At 41.5% G+C, this 22,829-nt stretch overlaps 2 long non-coding RNA genes across 4 annotated transcripts in view; both read right to left on the bottom strand.

The window, feature by feature from the left end:
• LINC01524 (long intergenic non-protein coding RNA 1524) overlaps positions 1 to 21,587 on the bottom strand; it is a 29,589-nt gene extending 8,002 nt beyond the window's left edge. Inside the window, exons 1-2 of the long non-coding RNA NR_110038.1 lie at positions 21,279 to 21,587; positions 20,425 to 20,563 (exon numbers count right to left, since the gene is read on the bottom strand). This is a non-coding gene — a long non-coding RNA (long intergenic non-protein coding RNA 1524). The remainder of the gene's footprint in view (positions 1 to 20,424; positions 20,564 to 21,278) is intronic.
• LOC105372666 (uncharacterized) overlaps positions 1 to 22,829 on the bottom strand; it is a 483,513-nt gene that overhangs the window by 51,731 nt on the left and 408,953 nt on the right. The gene's annotated exons all lie outside the window — the stretch shown is intronic.

The following is a 22,829-nucleotide window of genomic DNA, read 5'->3' as shown; positions in this document are numbered from 1 at the left end:
TCTCCAAAGTCGTCCCATTGATTTCCTTTAACTTTGGTGACAATCTAACTCTTTCTTTTATGCAATATGGAATGTTTTAGCCTTCTTTTCCCCCAGCTCTGCTTTAAACACAGAATATTTCTGTTGTACTCTTTTTGACTGATGTCAAACATTACGTGTGTCAGAAAAACGTATATGGTTGTCCATATCTAAGACAACTGAATATGAAAATTTATTCCATCATGTGGAGCCTTTCATGGGTCTTTAATTTAGGGCTCAGTTGATAAATTCAAGAGTTATTTTAATTATAGCAAGGCATCCAAATGCAAATGTAAACAGTGTCATTAATAAATGATCAACTAAGTAAAAACCAAATAATGGAAACACACGGACTTGAACATAGTTTTATATCAACTATATTGCAAGCATTGTCATCACCCTTGATGTTTGAAGGAGAGTTTACAGTTTGGCAGATCCAGGTTCTTTAGTACTGAGAAATCAGACAGTAGCCATGCATTAGCAATGGAGTTAGCAACCCCAACCCCACCCAAGACTTTTCTGCCCTAGTCTTCCCATTTTAGTCAAAGGCTCTATCACCCCCAACTCCAACCACTGATTTATTCAAACCAAAACCTTAGGAATTATCATTTCTCTCTTTCCCTCTTTCTCATAGCCAATCCATTAGCAAGCTGTGGCAATTTTAACTCCAAATTATATTCTGAATCCATTTACTGAACTCCGTCTCTGGTTATGCACTGCAGTAGCCTCTTTCCTGGTCTTCTTCTTCCTATTTTATATTGAATAGGGCATAACGATCACTTACAAACACAAATCAAGTCCTTAAAACTCTTTCATGGTGCCATTGCCCGTAGTATAAAACCCAGACCTCCATATCATTACCTACCAGGCCCTATATAACCTGGTCCTCGTCCACCTCTCCTTCCTCATCCTTGGTCACTCCATTCCTAACTTCCTGAGCTCCAGCCCCACTGTTCTTTCATGGCTCAGAACATGCGAAACTCAATAATATTTCAAGGCCTTTGCCTGGGCTGTTTCTTCTTCCTGGCACATTTTTCTCCCAACCTTATTCATCACTGGTTTCTTCTCTTTGGGTAGGTCTCAGTTCTCCTGGAAGAACCTCTGACATGTCATCAAAGGGTGCCCTTAACCTCACCCTCATACCTCTTAGTTACTGTCATGTCATCAAAGGGTGCCCTTAACCTCACTCTCATACTTCTTAGTTACTTTTATCATCTTCATCATTTCTAATTAATATGAGATTCCTTAAAGAACTAAAAGTAGAACTACCATTTTTTTAAATTATAGTTTAAGTTTTAGGGTACATGTGCACAACGTGCAGGTTAGTTACATATGTATACATGTGCCATGTTGGTGTGCTGCACCCATTAACTCATCATTTAACATTAGGTATATCTCCTAATGCTATCCCTCCCCCCTTCCGCCACCCCACAACAGGCCCCGGTGTGTGATGTTACCCTTCCTGTGTCCATGTGTTCTCATTGTAGAACTACCATTTGATCCAGCAATCCCACTAGTGGGTATCTACCCAGGGGAAAAGAAGTCATTACACGAAAAAGATACTTGCACATGCATGTTTATAGCAGCACAATTCACAATTGCAAAAACGTGGAACCAACTCAAATGCCCATCAATCAATGAGTGGATAAAGAAACTGTGGTATATATATATATGATGGAATACTACTCAGCCATAAAAAGGAATTAATTAATGGCATTCACGGAGACCTGGATGAGATTGGAGACTGTTAATCTAAGTGAAGTAACTCAGGAATGGAAAACCAAACATCATATGTTCTCACTCATAAGTGGGAGCTAAGCTATAAGGATGCAAAGGCAAAGACAATGGACTTTGGAACTCAGGGGGAAAGGGTGGGAAGGAGGTGAGGGATAAAAGACCACAAATTGGGTGCAGCATACACTGCTCAGGAGATGGGCGCACCAAAATCTCACAAATCACCACTAAAGGACTTATTCATATAACCAAACACCACCTGTTCCCCAATAACCTATGGAAATAAAAAAATTAATAACAAATAAATAGAATCATAAAATATGGGGTCTTTTGTGACTAACTTTTTTCACTTAGCACAATGTTTTCAGGTATCACCCACGTTATAACACATATCAATACTTCATTTAAAAAAAAAGGTTAATATTTATAACTGACTCCAATGTATAAAAGAAAAAGGAGGGGGAGAGCTGAATCATATTCTCTAACATATACCCCTTTGTTCTCAAGCTTGATTCACACAGACAACCAAACTCTATTCATTTATCCATTAAGGGCATTAGTACTCATCTTGCTAAATTTTCTTTGGAGTAATTTTTCAACCTTTCAGAGTTTCTCCCTAATTTCAGGGTTCTTGTCCCCTTCCCATAATGCACCTGGGCATCAGGGAAAGGTCAGTTCCTCATGGTGCCAGGAAGGCATTTCTGGCCTGTGAGCTCCCCTTTCATGACGGCTCCTTCTGTTCATGGTCTTCCGGCATTGCCCTTCACACTTACTGCAATTACTGTTGCAGAGGGTGGCCTCCCTGCTCAATGGGCATTCCAGGCTGGTGTCCACCAAGATGCAGTTGAGACCCACCAGTCCTTTGGGCTCTGTGTTGGCCTCTAGTGTTAATGACCCTGGATCTCACCATTGCTTCCGGGCATGAAGTCCCAGTCCCCTAAACTTCCTCTACCTGAACCCAGTCTTCTTCCAGGCAAAGAGTTCACACAACATTTCCATATCCCCATGAATACAAATGGCTGCTTGTTTCCCACCATGTTGGGGTATGTGCAGTCCTGTGATGCTGCCCAGGCCAGCCTGTGTTACTATCCTTTTTCCTGCCTCAGCCTCCCGAGTAGCTGGGACTACGGGCACATGCCACCACACCCGGCTAATTTTTTGTGTTTTTAGTAGAGACAGGGTTTCACTGTGTTAGCCAGGATGGTCTCAATCTCCTGACCTCGTGATCCACCCACCTCAGCCTCCCAAAGTGCTGGGATTACAGGCGTGAGCCACCGCGCCTGGCCGAGCAGTAATTTTTAAAAGTCTAAATACTATCAGTAGGCAAGGATGTAACAGAGGAAAATTCTTATGTAACACAGGAAAATTCTGATATACTGCTGGCAGGAGTATAAATTGGTAGAACTACTTTGGAGGTCAGCTTAGCACTATCTGGTAAAGCTGATGTGTATATCCACAACCATGTAATAAACCCATGCAACAAACCTGCACATGTACCCCTGCAAATGAATCTAAAATAAAAGTTAAAGGTTATATTTTTTTAAAAAATAGAAGCTGCCAGAGTTGCCCAGATGTGAACCATGTGGGCAGAGAAATGAACACACACAGAATATATTTGGAGATGGAGTCTACAGGACTGGCTTCTAAATGGCATACAGGGAATAAGGAGGGAAAGAGGCATATCAAGGGCGAATCCAAGATATATGCAAATTGTTTCACATGAGGAACAGAACAGCTCTCCAGCTATGGAGAGCTGATATTCTTAGAATCTCAGTTAATAATACTAAACATCGTTGGTAACAAGGACTGTAGACACACAATAGAATTTAATCGCTGGTACAACAGTCTCACAATGGGAAATTACAATGCCCTGAATTTAATAGGTTTCATTTTTCAAAGTGAATATTTCGCTTTTACAATCTCTCACTGCCAGCGATGCTCTTGGATTAGAACTGATTGGAGAGTTTTCTTTTATCTAGAAACAAGACCCTTGGCTATTCATACAGACTGATTAGCTTTGTCCAATGGAAACGAAGGCCACTTGCCTTCCTCTTCCTCCTTTATGTTCCAATGTTTTTGATTACCTCAGACAGGCCTTCAATTTTTTTTTTTCCATTTTAGCACAGCAGTGACAGTATAAGGAAAAATAAAAGGTGTCAGAAGACCTGAGTTCCAGTCCACCAACCCCAGCACTTGGATGGGTCACGCATCATCTGATCCCCAGGTTCCTCAACCGAGTTAATAATTACATTCTGCACATATTTATTGAGTAGCTAGTGCTTCAGGCTCTGTTACGTATTAGGGATATGGTGATAAAATCGTCCTCGCCCCTGACCTCAAAGAGTTTACAGGATTCCCCATCCCCACCCACAAACAAAATGTTTTGTAAAATTAATGGGACAGACAAATGTACACTTATTAGAATTTCTGTAATTTATTTAGTCTTTTAAATGGCTCCACCTACCTTCTAATATGATCAATTATGATTCAAATGCCTGTTTTGCACATTCTGAAGAAATGATCACATACAGTTGTGGAGGTCTATAATCCCCCATCTGGAATTTTCAGGCCAAATATATTTCAAAATTCAAGTTTTACTTAGATTTTAGGTTAATAGGTTCAGATATATTAAATCATAATCTCAAAGGAAACTGAGGCTGATCCCCGTAATCAAGCCCAATATTTCTGCAGTGCAACCTAGCCTCAAATGTCACTATACACACACACACACACACACACACACACATACATATATATAGTCCTTATTCATCTTGCTGTGTGGGGATATCCCTTAGTTCAATTTTGGCCATCAAGTGAATCATAAAACAAATTTAAAATAGCCAACTTTGGTCTTCAGGTGGTTTTTTTTTTTGGATTTCAGAATTGCATGTAAGAAATTACAAGCCTACAGCTCATAATTTTGAAATAAGCAGGACATGGGTTGAGCCTTAAAAACCAAATTTATCAAAGATATTCATTACAATTGCATTTGCTATAATGGTATTTGACCTATAGATGACCCAGCTTTATAAATAAACTTAAAGCACCTCCAGGTCCATTAATATTTCATTGATCCATAAAATACTTTCAAGTACTTATATTTATCTGCCTCATAGAAAGACCGTATCTGATGTAGAAACCACATGCACAAAGAAAAGCAGCCTCGCTCTGGTGTCCTGGATCATAATTCACATGAACATTAGGAGTCAGCTCTAATATAATTTTTAAGGCCCCAGGAGGGACTAATGAAAGTTGGCATGACAGAATTGGACCATGCCATATGGTGGGTCAGCTTTTCCCATGCTCAAGATAGCAACATTAGAGTGATCTCTTTAAAATGCACATTGGAGCCAATGTCTTCCGCTTAAAACCCTCCAGTGGCTTCCCACAGCACCTGGAAGAAAGGCCAAATTCCTTAACTTGGTATGGCACCATATGACCTCATCTTTCTCCATCTCTCCTGATGTTCCAACCACCTGGCCTTCTAATTTACAAAGTTCCCACCCACCTCAACACCTTTGCCCAGCTATTCCTCCTGCCTAAAAAGACTTGAACTGGCCCCATTCTTATTCCTAATGGCTTCTCTCCATCACTGAGGTTTCAGCTTAAAGGTCACCCACACAAAAAGATCCCTGACCACAATTTTATCTGAGGAAGGCACCCGGCACAGCCTTCATCAGGTTTTCTGCAGGAAAGCAGAGGCAGGACAGGTGAACAGCTTAGAGCTGTCTAGTTTAAATAATTCTAGTGGGCTCTGGGACTTAAAGCTGTTCCTAGTTGTCTGGTACCTGGCCCCAGGTTGATTTAGGGTAGGGGACATATTGGGCTGGTGTGTGAGAGTAAGCTACAGGAGAGGGCTCAGAGTATGAAATATGGATCACAGAATAAATGGAAACAACTTTGGTCATTAGTTTGGCCTTGTAATTAATGGATGTCAAATAGACAAATTCAGAAGCTATGGAAACACAGACCGGTGGCACACAACACTAAACCAAATATAAGACTGTTTTAAATAAGATAGAAGTTTATTTCTTTCATGCATAAAAGAAGTCCAAAAGTAACAAATCTAAGGCCAACATGGTCGCCCAATGGTGTCATCAGGGAACATATGTCCTTGTCTTTCCACTTCCCCAACCCAGCACAAGAGTCCCTTCTCAAGATCACTTTGTGCTCATTTCCCATTGCTGTTGTAACAAATGATCACTAATTTGGTGGCTTAAAGCGACATACATTTAGTATTGTACCATTCTGAAGGTCACAATCCAAAATGAGTCTTACAGTGCTAAGAAAAAGATGTCTAGGAGGACTGTGGTCCTTCTCAGGGCTCTAGGAGAAAATCAGTTCCTCGCCTTTTCCAGCTCCTATGGGCTGCCCACATTCCTTGACTCATGGCCTGTCCCTCCATCTTCAAAGCACATCACTCCAACCTCTGCTTCCAAAGTCTTTGACCCACTTGCTTCCTTCATCTAAGAACCTTTCTGATGACAGTGGGCCCACCTGGATAATCACCCCTCGCAAGATCCTTAACTTAATCACATCTGTAATGTTCCTTTTGCCATCTAAAGTAAGGTACTCACAGGTTTTGAGAATCAGGACATGCATATCTTTGGGGGGCCATTATTCTGTCACCATGCACCGAATTCTCCAGGGTGGCAGCTAGAGCTCCAGGCATCAAATACACATTCCAGGCAGCAGAAAGAGAAAGGAGTGGAAAGTGTCACTATCTCCACCTGCTTTAAGGAGCCTTCTCTGAAGTCCTCATAGCACTGTCTCTTATGTCTCTTTAGCTAGATTTAGTCATAATGCATATGTTCCAAAGAAATGCAAGAGAAGCAAGGAAATGCAGACTTTCATGCCAAGGGGTTATGTGCCCAGCTCAAAATGAAGGCTCGCTACTAAGGAAGAGGTGGAAATAAATATATGGAAGCCCCTAGCAGTCAATACTACAATCTCCAACAGCAATATAGCTGTCATGATTGCAGAAACCTTCTCTCTCTTCTGGCTGTTCTCTCTCACAGAGCTTGGACAGCCATCTGGGACCCAGCTGGTCCAGCCATAGACTGTGGAAATGTGACATGAAGCCATTCCTGCTGGAAAATCTGAGTCCTTTGAGGGCAGGGCCTTGTCTTTCATGCTCACTTATTATTCTCAGTGCCTAAAACAGTGCCTGGTGCCCAACGGGCTTGCAGTAGCTGTTGATTGTGGAATGAGTCTAATCTCTTTCATGTCTAGTATACAGGTTCTCAACTGGAGGTAATTGTGACTCCCAGGGGACATTTGCCAATGTGTGGAGACATTTTTGGTTGTCACACTGAGATGAGAGGGTGACTGGCATCTAGTGGGTAGAAGCCAGTGGTGCTGCTAAACACCCCATAATGCCCAGAACTGCCCTCAACAACAGATGATTACCTAGCCTCAAATGTCAATACTGCCAAGACTGAGAAACTCGGCTCTATGATAGGGTGTCAAAATTCTTAGACCCCAAAATTCTAAATTTGTTTTAAAATGCCCACCATGAACTGCCTGCTAGGACTCCGGGTGGAAATAGCCCCATTGCCCTCATGACAGAGCCCCATTGCCCTCCTGTTAAAATGTAAATTCCATGGGTGAAGGGTAAAGTGCCTTATGACTCCACCTACACTTGCCCATCCTGTGTCATGCCTTGGGGAACCTCCACAGCCATTCTTGCTGGAGAAACAGCCCCCTCCCTGCAGGTCACCAAACACGTTTCCATATCCACAAGCACCTTCGCTCAAGACACTCCTTTCTCCTTTTTCACCTGTTTAATTTTTGTATATCGTCCAAGTACTAGTGCAAGAGCCATTTTCCTTTGGAAAACTTTTTCTGAAGTCTTTTTCATCTTCCCATCAGGGTGAGTCATCTTCTTGCCCAAACTCCCATAATACCTTCATCATGGCAGATCACTTCTTATTGATGTGTTAATTTCCCAGGGCTACTATGGCAAAGTACCACAGACTGGGTGGCTTAAAACCACAAAAACGGTGGGGCATGGTAGCTCACGCCTGTAATCCCAGCACTTTGGGAGACCAAGGCGGGTGCATCACCTGAGGTTGGGAGTTTGAGACCAGCCTGGCCAACATAGTGAAACCCCATCTCTACTAAAAATACAAAAATTAGCCAGGTGTGGTAGCGGGCGCCTGTAATCCCAGCTACTCGGGAGGCTGAGGCAGGAGAATCACTTGAACCCAGGAGGCAGAGGTTGCAGTGAGCCGAGATAATGCCATTGTACTCCAGCCTGGGCAACAAGAGTGAAACTCTGTCTCAAAAAAGAAAAAACCACAGGAAACATTGCCTCACAGCTCTAGAGGCTAAAAGCCCCAAATCGAGTTGTCATGCAGGTAATGCCTCCTCCGAAGGCTCTAGGGGAGGATCCTTCCTTACCCATTCTAGTAGCTCCAGGGGTTCCTTGGCTTGTGGCAACATAACTCCAGTCTCTGCCTCTACTTCACATGGTCATCTTATCCCTGGGTCTCTCTTCTTATAAGGACACCAGTCATGTGGCATTAAGGGCCTACCTTAATTAGTTACCTCATCTTCACTAATTATATCTACAACAATCCTACTTCCAAATAAATTTACATTCTAAGTTATTGGGTGTTAGGACTTCAACACATCTTTTTGAGGGACAAAATTCAACCCGTAACAACTAGTATAATGATAAATAAATGTATTGGTCTTTGAAAAGAATATGAGAAAAATTCAACCAAGTAGGTTTAAGTTAAAGAGGAGAATGTTTTGGACATGCCAAGGAGGTAAATGTAGCTTCAGGCATAGTGGGATCCAGGAGCTCAAATACCAATCAAAGGGCTTGATATCTGTCAGTCTCTAAATTCCACTTTGCACTGTGCTCAGCTTCATGTTCAGCAAGATTTCTCTATGTGGTAACTCCCAGAAATTGTGGGTTTACATTACTCTTACACTTAGAATCCCTATCAAGTGCAACTACAGCAGATAAGAACTTTTCTTCTGGTTTTTGCCAAATATATAATTGAATATTACAGCAATACTTGGGGTCAGGTAGCTAGCTGAACCTATTGCTGTGCTAACTGGCTCAGCCTGGTCCCATGTCCACACCTGGGGTTGGGAGTAGATATAGGGTCAGCCCTTTCTACAACTCAAAGCCCAAGAACAAGGAAGAATGATACCAAGGAAAATCAGAAAGAGGAGTGGATATATGGCTGGAAAATCAGCAAATACTTAGCACAGATAGTTTTTTGTCCCCTTTTTTCCCAGGAGATGCCAAGCAAGCTAATGTCAAAAGTGACATCCATCTCGACTGATTCTGTGAGAAACACCACCAGACAGAGTATTTGGCACATAGTAATCGGTCAATAAATGTTTCTCAAATTGAACTGAGATTTTCTTTTATCTGGTGTCTTTCTGGCCCTCTCTGGGCATCTCTTCCTTTCTTTTGATCTAAGTGTCATGCATTTCTCCTCAAGTGCATCCCTCTTTTCTCATAAGTGAAAGTTGTAAACTATTCTAAACATAACTTGTCTTTTATTCTTCTCTCACAAAAGTATAATCTTACCATTGGTGGACAAAGACTTACTATGTAAAGCTACATGACTGTTATGATTGTGATGACAATGTGTTTGAATGCCACCTTTCTCCCCAGGTTCCCACCAAAGTCCTCAGATGTGTGATTTATAAGAAAGAATATTATGCACAGAAAAATCCCAACCATTCATTTTCTGCCATTCTCATGTCACCCAGTGAACAGATGTTGGTCAAAGAATAAGTCAACAGCAATTGGGTTCACCAGCTATCGCCAACGGATCATAAAAGAGTTCATGATTTTAATCAAAGTTTGTCATCCATCCAGAACTGAATAAATGAATTTCCACCAAAAGGAAGTTTAAGCTTCTGAAAGTTACCTAGCCCAAGAGCAACACAGTGAACTGTGGGTTCAGAAAGAAAATAAAAATCAATCATGACAATTATTTTACTAAATTATCTTGAACTGCAGTGTATCACAAAGGCTCAGGTAAATGTTGACTGTCACACCAACAAGCAGTGCTGTTCCCATCACTGACCTTTTTCTTGTTAAAATGCATGTCAATATGCAAAATAGAAGTGTTCCATATGAGAACTGAATGCACGATCCATTTCGAGAATTTCCCGAAATAATCTGCAGGAAATGGAATTCAAGGGACAATTCGGTTTATCTAAAGACATGTACAAACAACCTTTAAAAATTGTCTTGTCTGAAGATTCGCTCCTTCAGTTTGTCAGCTCCTGTTTCAATGGATTCAGATCTGAGCTTGCTTCAAAATAAGATGCAGTGGAGTGGGATGTCCTGATGGCAAAACTTCCTGAAATATCTCATTTACACACAGGTCACTTCTCTACCAACTTCCATCATCTAGAATATAACTGAAAACCCAGTGAAAAGCAAGAGAAATGGTCCTTTGAACAGCCCATATAGATGTAGTCAAACTCAAGCACTTTGCTAATTAGAGAGCTACAGTCAGAACCTATGGACTCCAAACTCTTCTTAAAAATCTAACGATCTCGGTGTAACAGTGAAGGGCCTATCAGAAATCAGATGGCTCATTTAGACTGGGATAATTCAAGGGCAGTTCAGTAAAGGCACTATTTACAAAGGGTTTGGTGTCGGAAATTTGAAGAAGCTGTTACCATCCTGGGGTCTGAAGGAAAAGAGGAGGGCATTGTTCCCAGAATCAGGAACGAGGAAGAGCTCTGTGAAAAAAGGCTACCTGAAGAGGAATGATGACCACAGAGGAAACGACCAGCCAAGGCAACCCCAGAAAAAGTGAGTCTAGGAAACAAATATCCCAGCCTCCTCTCTTCCCTCTTATTTCTTGCCAGCTTGCCTAGCTGAAAGGCAGTGAGTTAGGGAGCCAGTTGATGAAGCCCCTAAAGTTCAGCTTTGCAGCCAGAGAGCAGGGTACGACAGGGTGGCAAATGGCCCTGCCAGGGCAAATAGAGCATGACGTATACGCTTAGTTGATCACTGTGGGTTTTTCAGCCCACAGTACATGTGGGGAAACTAGAAGCAACTGGTGCTAAATGCAGTACATGGTCATGCCCAGAAGGGAACATCTAACAACGACAAAGAAGAAATCAATTTTTCCTGCAGATACTGATATTCTAATATGTGAACAGGAATTTTTGAAAATTTCATTCAAAGCTACAGATTCTCTCCCCAAATGAATTCAAATAGAAATCATACAGAATGGGACCATTTAGGACTGGGCCCCAATTCTCCATGGTGCCAGAGGACATCCCTGTAGTACTGATACCTTAGTAATTTAATAGCAAGTAGTCCAGAAAAGCTTTTAAAAATCCATAAACTTATCTTAAGCAGGTAGAGACATTTACGAATTTTTTATAGGGCTTTTGTCCCATAGTAGTTAAGATTTATTTGCTAATTTATGAAACACACAGTAATAATTACTAACATGTTGTTGAGCTCTTACTATGTACTAGGCACTTTACACACAAAGGTCATCTCATCCTCACCCCAGCCTTATGAGCAAGCATGATTATTTCATTCCTATTTTACACATGGCAGTTAAGTAAGTTGCCCAGGGTCCCACAGCTGGTAAGACACAGCGCCAGGTTTAAACCCAGGCAGTCTGGCTCCAGAGTCTGTCCTCCTAACTAGACACACAGCCTCTCTAGCTCACATTTACAGCACCTGCTAGGTGTAAGCACAATGCAAAGGAGATGAGAAAAAAAGAAAGAGAGAGAGAGAAGGAAAGAAAGAAAGAAAGAAAGAAAGAAAGAAAGAAAGAAAGAAAGAAAGAAAGAAAGAAAGGAAGGAAGGAAGGAAGGAAGGAAGGAAGGAAGGAAGGAAGGAAGAAAGAAAGGAAGAAAGAAAGAAAGAAAGACACCCATGGCACCTCAATGAGTCTATAGTGCAGAAAAAGTATATTAATAATAAGAAAATGGTATATTATTTTTCTATTGTCATGTAACAAATTACCACCAATTCAGCAGCTTAACATAATGAGCTCTTCCCATTCATGAGCTCTCAGTTCAGTTGATCAGAAGCCCAAGCGTGGCATGACTGGATTCTCTTCTCAGGATCTAACAAGACTGAAATCAAGGTGTTGGTTAAGCAGCATTCATATCTGGAGGGTCTGGGGAAGGATCCATTTCCAAGCTCATACAAGTTATCAACAGAATTCAGTTCCTTACAGTTGTAGGACTGAAGTCCCCATTTTCTTGCTGGCTCACAACTCATAGAGGCCACCCACACTCCTTGCCATGTGACCCCCTCCATCTTCACAGCCAGCATTGGAGAATCTCCCTCATGCCAAACCCCACTCATTCTTTGACTCTCTCTACAGGAAGAGCGTGAGCTCCTGCAAGGACTCACCTGATTAGGTCAGGCCCACCCAGAATAAACCCCTTATCCTAATGTCAACTAATTATGCATCATGATTACGATGATAAAATCCCTTTTTCCATGGGCATGGTATCTTGTCATAGTCACAGGTTCCTCCCACACTTAAGGGAAGGGGATTACACAAGGGTGAGGGTCAGTGAAAGTCATCTTAGAATTCTGTCACCAACACCTGGCAATGGTGACATGAGGCATTGATGTAAGATGGTCAAAAAGCAGTGTGGAGCTGGCCAAAATGACCTTCTAATAAATTATATATATAACATATTATAGTGATATGTAATTATAATTACATATTACATATAATATGACATTTATATTACAGTATATAAATAATATTCATATAGTTTATATAATATATAAAAATTTATATTTTATATGTATATATTATATATAATATATACTTATATATTGTATTAGTCCATTCCCATGCTGCTATAAGGACATACCCAAGACTGGGTAATTTATAAAGAAAAAGAGGTTTAATGGACTCCGTCTCACGTGGTTGGGGAGGCCTCGCAATCATGGCAAAAGGCGAAGGAGGCACAAAGTCACATCTTACATGGTGGCAGGCAAGACAGCCTGTGCAGAGGAACTGCCCTTTATAAAACCATGAGATCTCATGAGGCTTATTCAATATCACTAGAACAGCATGGGAAAAACCCACCCCCATGATTCAATTACTCCCCACTGGGTCCCTCCCACTACACACGGGGATTATGGGAGCTACAATTCAAGATGAGATTTGGGTGGGGACACAGCCAAACCATATCATATGTATAGAAACTTGAGTTGCAAGTTTTCCATAGTGGTTAAAATTTATTTGTCATAACTTATATATAAGTTTTATATATATTATATATAATGTAAATATCTATTATATATATCTATATAACATATAGAGATATATATTAGAGAGACAGAAAGTCATTAATTAACCTTGCAAACCTGGAGTCAGACTATGGGAATCCTCCTTGGGCTCAGACTCTATTGTTCAAATTGTTTAATTCCTCCAAACCTTGGAGAAGCTTCCTGCTCTGATGTCCAATAAGTGACAGTATATTTCTCATAAGGTTGCTGTGAGGAGTAACAATTAAATCCACGTGGCTTCCTAGCACAGCACCTGGCAAGTAGGCGCTGGGTACTCTTAGCTATTAGAATTAATATTAGCATTGCTGTTAATATCTTTATTGCTATTCATACTTGAGTGAAATAAGCCTAGACTGAGTTCACAGCACAGCTGAGAAAATTTCCATTGCTTGTGTGGTTTAACATGGATTCTGGGAGCAATAACCCTGGTCACTGATGCATCAACTCCGGAATAAATGCCAGTGGCCGCTGGCAAGAAAGGAACAAGAGCATCCCATATTCCAGCTCCATTTACAAGATGGCTTATTGCTTTTATAGATCCTTCAGACAATGGCACAAAGGCTTCCAGAGAGAAAAGCCTGAGATACTCTAATACGTATATGGACAGGAATATTTGTAAGATTCTTCAAAGCATATGGTCTCCAACCAAAGCAGACAAGCAACTGGAAACAGAAAAAGTTCTCCTTCTCTATCTATTTAAGCTGTAACAAGCTTCTCTTTTGCATTCACTTTAATTTAAACAATGTTGTATGTCAGGCTACTTCCTGCAAGTTGCAACTCATTTCAGCTCCTTTTGCATCATCACTCAAGAGAAGGCACTCACGGAGACAACTTGTGGGGGTTGTTTCATTATTGGGGACTGTGTCCTTTCCAGAAGCATCATCCTCTTTAACTGGTGAGGAGTGTTTTCTGATTTTTTTCTAGAGCAGTGTCCTCCAAAGTGGAAAATAAGCTAAAAAAGATATTAGACCTTCTATTTATACTTACTTCAAACTAAAAATAAGAAAGAAATTAAACTGTGTTATATTTTAATAAGCAGCTTGACACTTGCCTCACTCCCTCTGCGTCGGTTACATATGGTATTGCAGAAATTCTGAGAGAAGGTGGGAATTCTACAACTCAGAGGAATTGGGGATGGGGGAGGCAATGGCATTCTTTTTTTTTTAAATTATACTTTAAGTTCTGGGATACATGTGCAGAACACGCAGGTTGTTACATAGGTATACATGTGCCATGGTGGTTTGCTGCACCCATCAACTCATCATCTACATTACGTATTTCTCCTAATGCTATACTCCCCAAGCCCCCCACCGCCCCCGCAACAGGCCCTGGTGTGTGATGTTCCCCTCCTGTGTCCATGTGTTCTCATTGTTCAGCTCCCACTTATGAGTGAGAATGTGCAGTGTTTGGTTTTCTGTTCATGTGTTAGTTTGCTGAGAATGATGGTTTCTGGCTTCATCCATGTCCTTGCAAAGGACATGAACTCATCCTTTTTTATGGCTGCATAGTATTCCATGGTGTATATGTGCCACATTTTCTTTATCCAGTCTATCATTGATGGACATTTGGTTTGGTTCCAAGTCTTTGCTGTTGTGAATAGTGCTGCAATAAACATATATATGCATGTGTCTTTATAGTAGAATGCAAATCAATAAATGTAATCCAAACAGAACCAATGACAGAAACCACATGATCATCTCAATAGATGCAGAAAAGGCCTTCAATAAAATTCAACACCCCTTCATGCTAAAAATGCTCAATAAACTAGGTATTGATAGAACATATCTCAAAATAATGAGAGTTATTTATGACAAACCCATAGCCAATATCATACTGAATGGGCAAAAGCTGGAAGCATTCCCTGTGAAAACCAGTACAAGACAAGGATGCCCTCTCTCACCACTCCAATTCAACATAGTATTGGAAGTTCTGGCCAGAGCAATCAGGCAAGAGAAAGAAATAAAGGGTATTCAAATACGAAGAGAGGAAGTCAAATTGTCTCTGCAGATGACAATGGTGTTCTTACTGCCTCTAGCCTACAGCCTATTGAGGTTTCTTGCAATTTACACATGCCTAGTAATGTGGATTCATAGACAGCATTATCACCTCTTAACTATAGCAGCCCTCACAAAAAGGACTAGTGGCTTAAAGATTCCTACAAAGTAATGTGAATTGAAGGAAATTTTAACAATGCAAGCATCTGCATGCAAGGAGAAAATGGCTCTAACTTCTTCCACCATTAACAGGAGCTTTTTATCAGTTATATTGTGATGTAAAAAAAAAATGATGATGAGCAACTCGGAGTTGTCAAAACAAACAAACAAAAAAGGAAGTTATCCAGCAGATTATGTAACATATAGATTTACATTTAAAACCATGATCTGATATTTTCTGTACTAGAATATAGGCTCCAGAACAGCAGGGATCTTGTGTTTTTTCATGCTTTTTACTCATATTCTTAGCTTGGCACATAGCAGGCATTCCATAAATATCTATTAATAAATAACTTAATCGGTAATGATGAGGTTTACATTTTTCAGAGATAGCCTCAGTCATCTCTCCCATTCCATAGGCTGGCTTACAATGTGATCTTGCTATTCCCTCATCAAGAAGTATAGTCTAGGCCTGGTGCGGTGGCTCATGCCTGTAATCCCAGCACTTTGGGAGGCTGAGGTGGGCAGATCATGAGGTCCGGAGATCGAGACCATCCTGGCCAACATGGTGAAACTCCGTCTGTATTAAAAATACAAAAATTAGCTGGGCGTGGTGGCAGGTGCCTGTAGTCCCAGGTACTTGAGAGGCTGAGGCAGGAGAATTTCTTGAACCTGGGAGTCAGAGGTTGCAGTGAGCCGAGATCGCACCACTGCACTCCAGCCTGGCGACAGAGTGAGACTCCGTCTTAAAAAAAAAAAAAAAAAAAAGTATAGTCTAATTCCCAGCCCTTGAGCCAAGGCAGGCTTATGACAGCTTTGATGGATACATTATGACAGAGGGAATGCTACGTGACTTCCAAGGCTGTCAGGAAAAGCCATACAGCTTCCCTCTCTGGTTTCTCCTGAGATGCTTATTCTGGAGGGAGCAAGAGCTGCTATTCAAGAAGTCCAGCTACACTGAGACCATCGTGGTGAAAGGGTCACATGAATGCTCTGACCAACAGCCCCAGTTAAGGTCCCAAAGCTGCCAGCCATGGCAATGGCACAACTTGGACATCCTTCAAATGACTACAGCCTCAGCTTCACCCAATATCAGACTGTACTACACGAGGACCTCCAGGTGAGAACCAGTCAGCTGAGCCCTTTCCTAATTCCTGACCCAGAAATCATGAGCAAAACAAACTTGTGAGTTTAAATCACTAAATTTGGGGATCATTTGTTACATGTTACTAGATAATTAAACAATAAACCTCCTCCCAAATACATGTTATGGCTCAATATTTTTTATTTTTTATTTATTTTATTTTATTATTATTATTATTTTGAGACAGAGTCTCACTCTGTTGTCAGGCTGGAGTGCAGTGGCGCGATCTCAGGTCACTGTAACCTCCACCTCCCAGGTTCAAGTGATTCTCCTGCCTCAGCATCCGAGTAGCTGGGATTACAGGCGCATGCCACCATGCCCAGATAATTTTTGTATTTTTAGTACAGACGGGGTTTCACCACGTTGCTAGGATGGTCTTGATCTCTTGACCTCGTGATCCACCCACCTCAGCCTCCCAAAGTGCTGGGATTACAGGTGTGAGCCATCACGCCTGGCCTACTTTTTATTTTTTTGAGATGGAGTTTTGCTCTGTCTCCCAGGCTGGAGTGCAATGGCTCGATCTTGGCTCACTGCAACCTCCTCCTCCCAGGTTCAAGCAATTCTCATGCCTCAGCTTCCAAGCAGCTGGGATTACAGGCAGCCACTACCAACCCTGGCTAATTTTTTGTATTTTCAGTAGAGACAGGGTTTCACCATGTTGACCAGGCTGTTCTCAAACTCCCGACCTCAGGTGATCCGCCTGCCTCAGCCTCCCAAAGTGCTGGGATTACAGGTGTGAGCCACAGCGCCCAGCCATGGCTTAAGATATTTTTTAATAATACTATGAAGCCATTGCAAGTCATGAAACATGTAAAACTAATAAGCATGAGGTTCATTTCTAATAGTAATTTTATTTAGTGAGAGCAATGATATTTTGGTACTATTCACAAATAGAATAATTAGATTACAAGTAATTTCAGTTTTATCTTATCAATTTGTAATAGACCTAATGTTTGTGTCCACCCAAAATCCACATATTGAAATTCTAATCTGCAAAGTAATAATAGGTTGGTGCAAAAGTAATTGCGGCTTTTGCCATTACTTTTAATGGTAATGCCAATGGCACAACTAGGACATCCTTCAGATGACTGCAGCCTCAGCTACAGCCAATTCGTTTTAATGGCAAAACCACAATTACTTTTGCACCAAACTAATATTAGGAGGTGGGGCCTTTAGTGGGTAATTGGGTCATGAGAGTGGAATCCTCATGAATCCTATTCCCTCATCAAGAATTGTAGTCTGGCCAGGCATGGTGGCTCACGCCTGCAATCCCAGCACTTTGGGAGGCTGAGGTGGGCAGATCACCTGAGGTCAGGAATTCAAGACCAGCCTGACCAACATGATGAAACTCTGTCTCTACTAAAAATACAAAAAGTAGCCAGGCGTAGTGGCAGGCATCTGTAATCCCAGCTATTTGGGAGGCTGAGGTAGGAGAAACACTTGAACCTGGGAGGCGGAGGTTGCAGTGAGCCGAGATCATGCCACTGCACTCCAGCCTGGGCAACAAGAGCAAAATTCTGTCTCAAAAAAAAAAAAGTTTAGTCTAATTCCCCAGCCCTTAGGGCAAGGCAGGCTTGTAACTGCTTTGATGGACAGATCCTATTCATGAGGATTCCACTCTCATGACCCAATTACCCACTAAAGGCCCCTTTTGTCATGTCAGGATACAATAGAAAGTCAGTAACCTGCAGCCTGGAAAAGGACCCTCATCAGAACCTAACAATGCTGGCACCCTGATTTCCGACTGCCAGCCTCCAGAACCATGAAAAATAAATGTTTGTCGTTTAAACCATCCAGTCTATGGTATTTTTGTTACAATGGCTCAAACTGAGTCACCATTTAAAATTATAACTGCTTATGTATGCTTTCTAGTGGACATAAGATATCAATACTTCAGTGCAAGTATATAATTTATAAATAAGTAAACAAATATTGGGAACGCATGTTTAAAATATTTCAAACTGAAATGTAAGATTAAATTGCTAGCTTAGTAAATGAAGAAAATAAATCAAACCTCTCCCAGCATCCTGCACAACATTTCAGGAGGTTCTTGGACTTTTGTCATAGAGACCTGGCCTCACTTTAATGAATCCCATCTTGGGTATCCAGCAGGCAATGTGCACAGTGCTTGTGTGCCGTCTATGCTGCAGTTGACAGACCTCTCGGATTCATCCCTGTTCTGCTTCTCACTCCCTCTGCACATTTAGGCAAATTACTCTAACCTTCCCCTCCACCCTTTTTCTTGAGACAAGATGGAGTACAGTGGTGTGATCACAGCTCATTGCAGGCTCAACTTCCCAAGCTCCAGTGATTCTCCCACCTCAGCCTCACAAGTAGCTGAGACTACAGGTGTGCGCCATTGCACTCAGCTAATTTATTTTATCTTATTGTTGTTATTATTATTATTATTATTATTATTATTATTATTAGAGACAGGGGTCTCACTAGGTTTCCCAGGGTGGCCCCGAATTCCTGGGCTTAAGTGATCTTCCCACCTCAGCCCCCCAAAGTGCTGGGATTAGAGGTGTGAGCCACCACACCTATCCTCTAACTTTTTTCTGAGCCTCAGTTTCCTAATCTGTAAAAGCCGACTTATAAAACTAGATAGCTCGTAGGGTTATCGTGAATATCAAAGGAAAAACTTTCAGTAAAAAAACCTATTCAGCACTGTAAGTGCGTAGCAGACTCAGCACAGGTAGTCAACACTCAATAAACATCAGCTGCATCTTCATCCTCATTATTACGAGGGGCAACCTCCGAAAGAACACATGAAAGACAGGAAAGGCATGCACAATGGGGCCATAGAACAGATGTGATGGTCCTAAGGACTCGAATGGGGAAGATGCTAACTCTTATAAAGAGAAAAAAGAATAAAAATCATGAAACTACCACAGTACCAAGTGCAAAAAAATTCTGGGATAGCAGTGATTTGGAGAAATACATTGGTGAGAATATGAAGTTCTGTAAACTTTCTGGAAAGTAATCATCTGTGTTCATTTAAATAGAAGTATACATACCCTTTGACCCAGCAATCCTACCTTTGGAAATATATACAAAAGCAATAGTGTACAAGAATATGTTAAAAAAAAATGATGTGTGTATGTGTGTTTATGTATATAGGCATACATATATACATGCATATACATGCATGCATTTGTGTCTGGTTATAACACCATAGAAAAATGACTAGAAGGATATGCACTAAGCTGTTAAAATTAGTTACTTTAAGAAAGGTGAAGATGGAGAGGAATAGAGCAAAAAAAATTTCTTATGCACTAAATTGCTACCCTTGCTATAAATCACTGGTATTTATATATATTTTTTTTTAATAAAGAAACTAGAGAACTTGAACTTTCACTGTGTTATCTTAGATAAAGCCACAATAAATCACACCCTTCCTTCTCCTGAAGAGGAGTTTCTGGTCTTTAAAAGATGAAGTTCCAAATGGTGGATCCTCGTACCTTTGACCACTGGGGATGGATGGTGTAAGTGTGGGAGAAAAGGAGATGGGAGAGAGAGGAAAATCATTCAAAAAGTCAAAATCTTGGAATTTTGCATTTCACAGTCATGTAAAATAAACCAAACAGGCAAAAAGCAATGATGAGAACTTTTCTCACATAAAATATCTCCTATTATATTCCCCAAATTACAAACATATTTGAGATTTGCCAAGTACATATATTCTAGCACATAAAAAAAGAAAATACACCATTTAGATAGACTCAGGATATTTTTTAAGTACCTACCAACTGTCAGTCACCCTCCAGTTGCTTTCAAATATCAATTTCATCTCCAGAACATTCCAGTGGTTGAGTCAGCAAGCATTCCTAGTCATTGGCACTTTAGTTTGAAATACCATCATGAGCCACTCCAGTTTCTGAGGGAGATTGTTCTGGAGTACAGGGGAATTTATCCTAAAGGAAATGTTTTATTTGGGATTCTTTTGGCAGCAGATGTCAACATCTAATTTAATCTGATTTTAGCAAAAAAAGGGACTTTATTGTCTTACTTATCATGGAATTGTTTGCAATAAGCCTACCTCCCAGGACCAGATCCAGCCATTTCAAGATTTCATCAGAATTCTTTCTCTAATTTTCATCTCTGCTTACCTCAATGCTGGCTTTATTATCTGGGTGACTCTCCCTTCACAGTAACAGAGCATCCAACATGCATTCTATGCACTTTGTAGCCCTAGTGAGAAGATGTCTTCTTGTTCCCCATAAAGTCCATTGAAGTACATTGTCACATCTGGAACCAAGGAGGAAGAGTCAAATCTATTCAAACTCTTTGGACTGGGATGAGGGAGGCATGGTTCCTCAAAAGGAAATTCGAGATGTTACTATCAGAAGGTCTGGACTTGGGGTAAGCAAAGAAACATATGTCTGTTTCAGGGAATAACAAGAAGAAGTGGTTTGGGCCATGGTGTCCTGCAGACTCCCAGGGACCCTTCTGTAGCACAAAGCCTGCCATGTGGTGAGTATGGCTATGAGTGAGAAATCAGGGAGCCCCAGAAGGTCACACGAGGGTAATGGGAACAGCTGGCCTGCTGATTCAAAGTCTAGGTTTGGAATCCCCTGATGAATCCTACACTCTTTAGAGTTTGAGAAGCTTGGGTTCTGAGCTCTGTTAAAACAAACAAACAAACAAAAAAAAGGATACCCCTGCTATACCTGCCCACAAACCTATAGACTTGAGGACATAAAGGTAGGGCTTATGAACATGGGCTCTGACAACAAACCAGGGCCGTCTCCCTCCTATCCTACCTGCCACCCCTTAGCTTGTGATGTGTGGAAGTGATTTAACTTTCCTGCGTTTCATTTTCTCATCAGGAAAATGCAGCTGATTGCCAACTACATGGACTTCTGGCCAGCATTAGTGTTTTCTTCAAGAGTTGCATAGGGGAGCAGCTAAGAGGGTGGGGAACGGAACCCCATGTTTAGGAGGAGTTTGCTCTCCTGCTTACCAGTGAGGTGAACTTGCTCTGAAATTGTTTCCTCACCTGGGAAGAAGTAAAGTTAATGATAGCACCTGCCTTCTACAATTTTCTGTAGGATTAACATCACAGGTGTTCTGCACTGTGCCGGCAGATAGCAAGCACTCAACATATGGCAGGTGCTCGGGCTCTCACTCAGATGCAGCTCAAGGCTTTGTGTCTGTCTTAGCTGAGCTGTAACTTAGAACAGTGTCTGGCACATAATTGATGTCCAACAGATATTTGTCACAGAAAATGCTGAATGCTTGTCATAAATTCAGTACCACCTCAACTCAGCCTTCTCTTCTACAACTTCTCCTACTTCCCAAATTTTCTGATTCAGATTTTATATTCAATGCATAGTTATCAAGAACCTATTTTGTTGCAGGCACTCATCTACACTCTGGGAACGGAGCTGTGAATAAGACATGCAAAGAAGTTACTCCTGGGAGTTCATATTCTCCTTGAGAGAGGGAGGGGAGTTGTATATCCAGTGGGATAAGGTCTAAGAAAGAAACAAAGGGCATTGATGACAAGAAGTTGAGGGGTGGGAAGTCAAAAATGTGTGATCTGGGAAGCTTCCGGACAAGATGGCTTTTGAGCTCACTCCCAAAAGATAAAAGGAGCCAGCCATGAAAAGGGCTAGTAGAAGAGAATTCAAGGTGGAAGTCCTGAGGTGGCATTATGGATTGAATTGTGTCCCCGAAAAGATATGTTGAAGTGATAACTGCTAGTACCTGCAAATATGGCCCTATTTGGAAATAGAGCCTTGGCAAATATAGTCGAGTTCTACTCAATTTAGGTGGGCCCTAATCCAGTGACTGATGTCTTCATAAGAAGAGGAGAAGGGATGTAGAAACACACAGGGAGGCAGAGATGGGGACAAAGCACCCACAAGCCAAGGAATGCCAGGAATTGCCAACGTCAGGAACTCAGAGAAGGAAATGGAATAGACTCCCCTAGAGCCTTCAGAGGGGATACGGCCATGCAGACACCTTGACTTCAGACTCCAAGCCTCCAGAACTATGAGAGAATACATTTCTGTTGTTTTTCACCACCTGGTTTGTGGGTCTTTGTTATGGCAACTCCAGGAAACTAATGCAAGTGGAAATAAGCTTGGCATGTTCAAGGGACAGAAAGGAAGATTGTTGACAGTGGACTGTGGGGGAGAGAGTCAAGAAATAAGGGCAGAGAGTTAGGAAGAGGCAGACTCAGCAGGACCTGGTGGGCCATGGTGTAAACACCACCTGCTGCTCAGCCTGCAAGGGAAGTCAGGGGAGGAGCTGTCAGCGGGGGCAGGACATGATCTACGTTTTTCAGAATCACTTCGGCACCTATACTATGGGGGCACATAGCAAAACAGAGGGACAGTTTAGCCTGGAGATAGTCATTGCTAAGGGCATGGGGTGGCTTTTATTACCCTGGCAGTAGCATCCTTTAAATACTGGAAGAAAGGACCATTGACTGAGTTGAGTCTGGAAGCACCTTTCAACCCGGGAGTTGCTCAAGGAAGAAGGGTGGATGCTCATTTTTTGTGTGTGT

The sequence above is a fragment of the Homo sapiens genome, chromosome 20, assembly GCF_000001405.40.
Source record: "Homo sapiens chromosome 20, GRCh38.p14 Primary Assembly".
NCBI classification, from domain to species: Eukaryota; Metazoa; Chordata; class Mammalia; order Primates; family Hominidae; genus Homo; species Homo sapiens.
The sequence above is the reverse complement of the archived record's forward strand: the minus strand, read 5'-3'. Positions and strand labels throughout refer to the sequence as shown.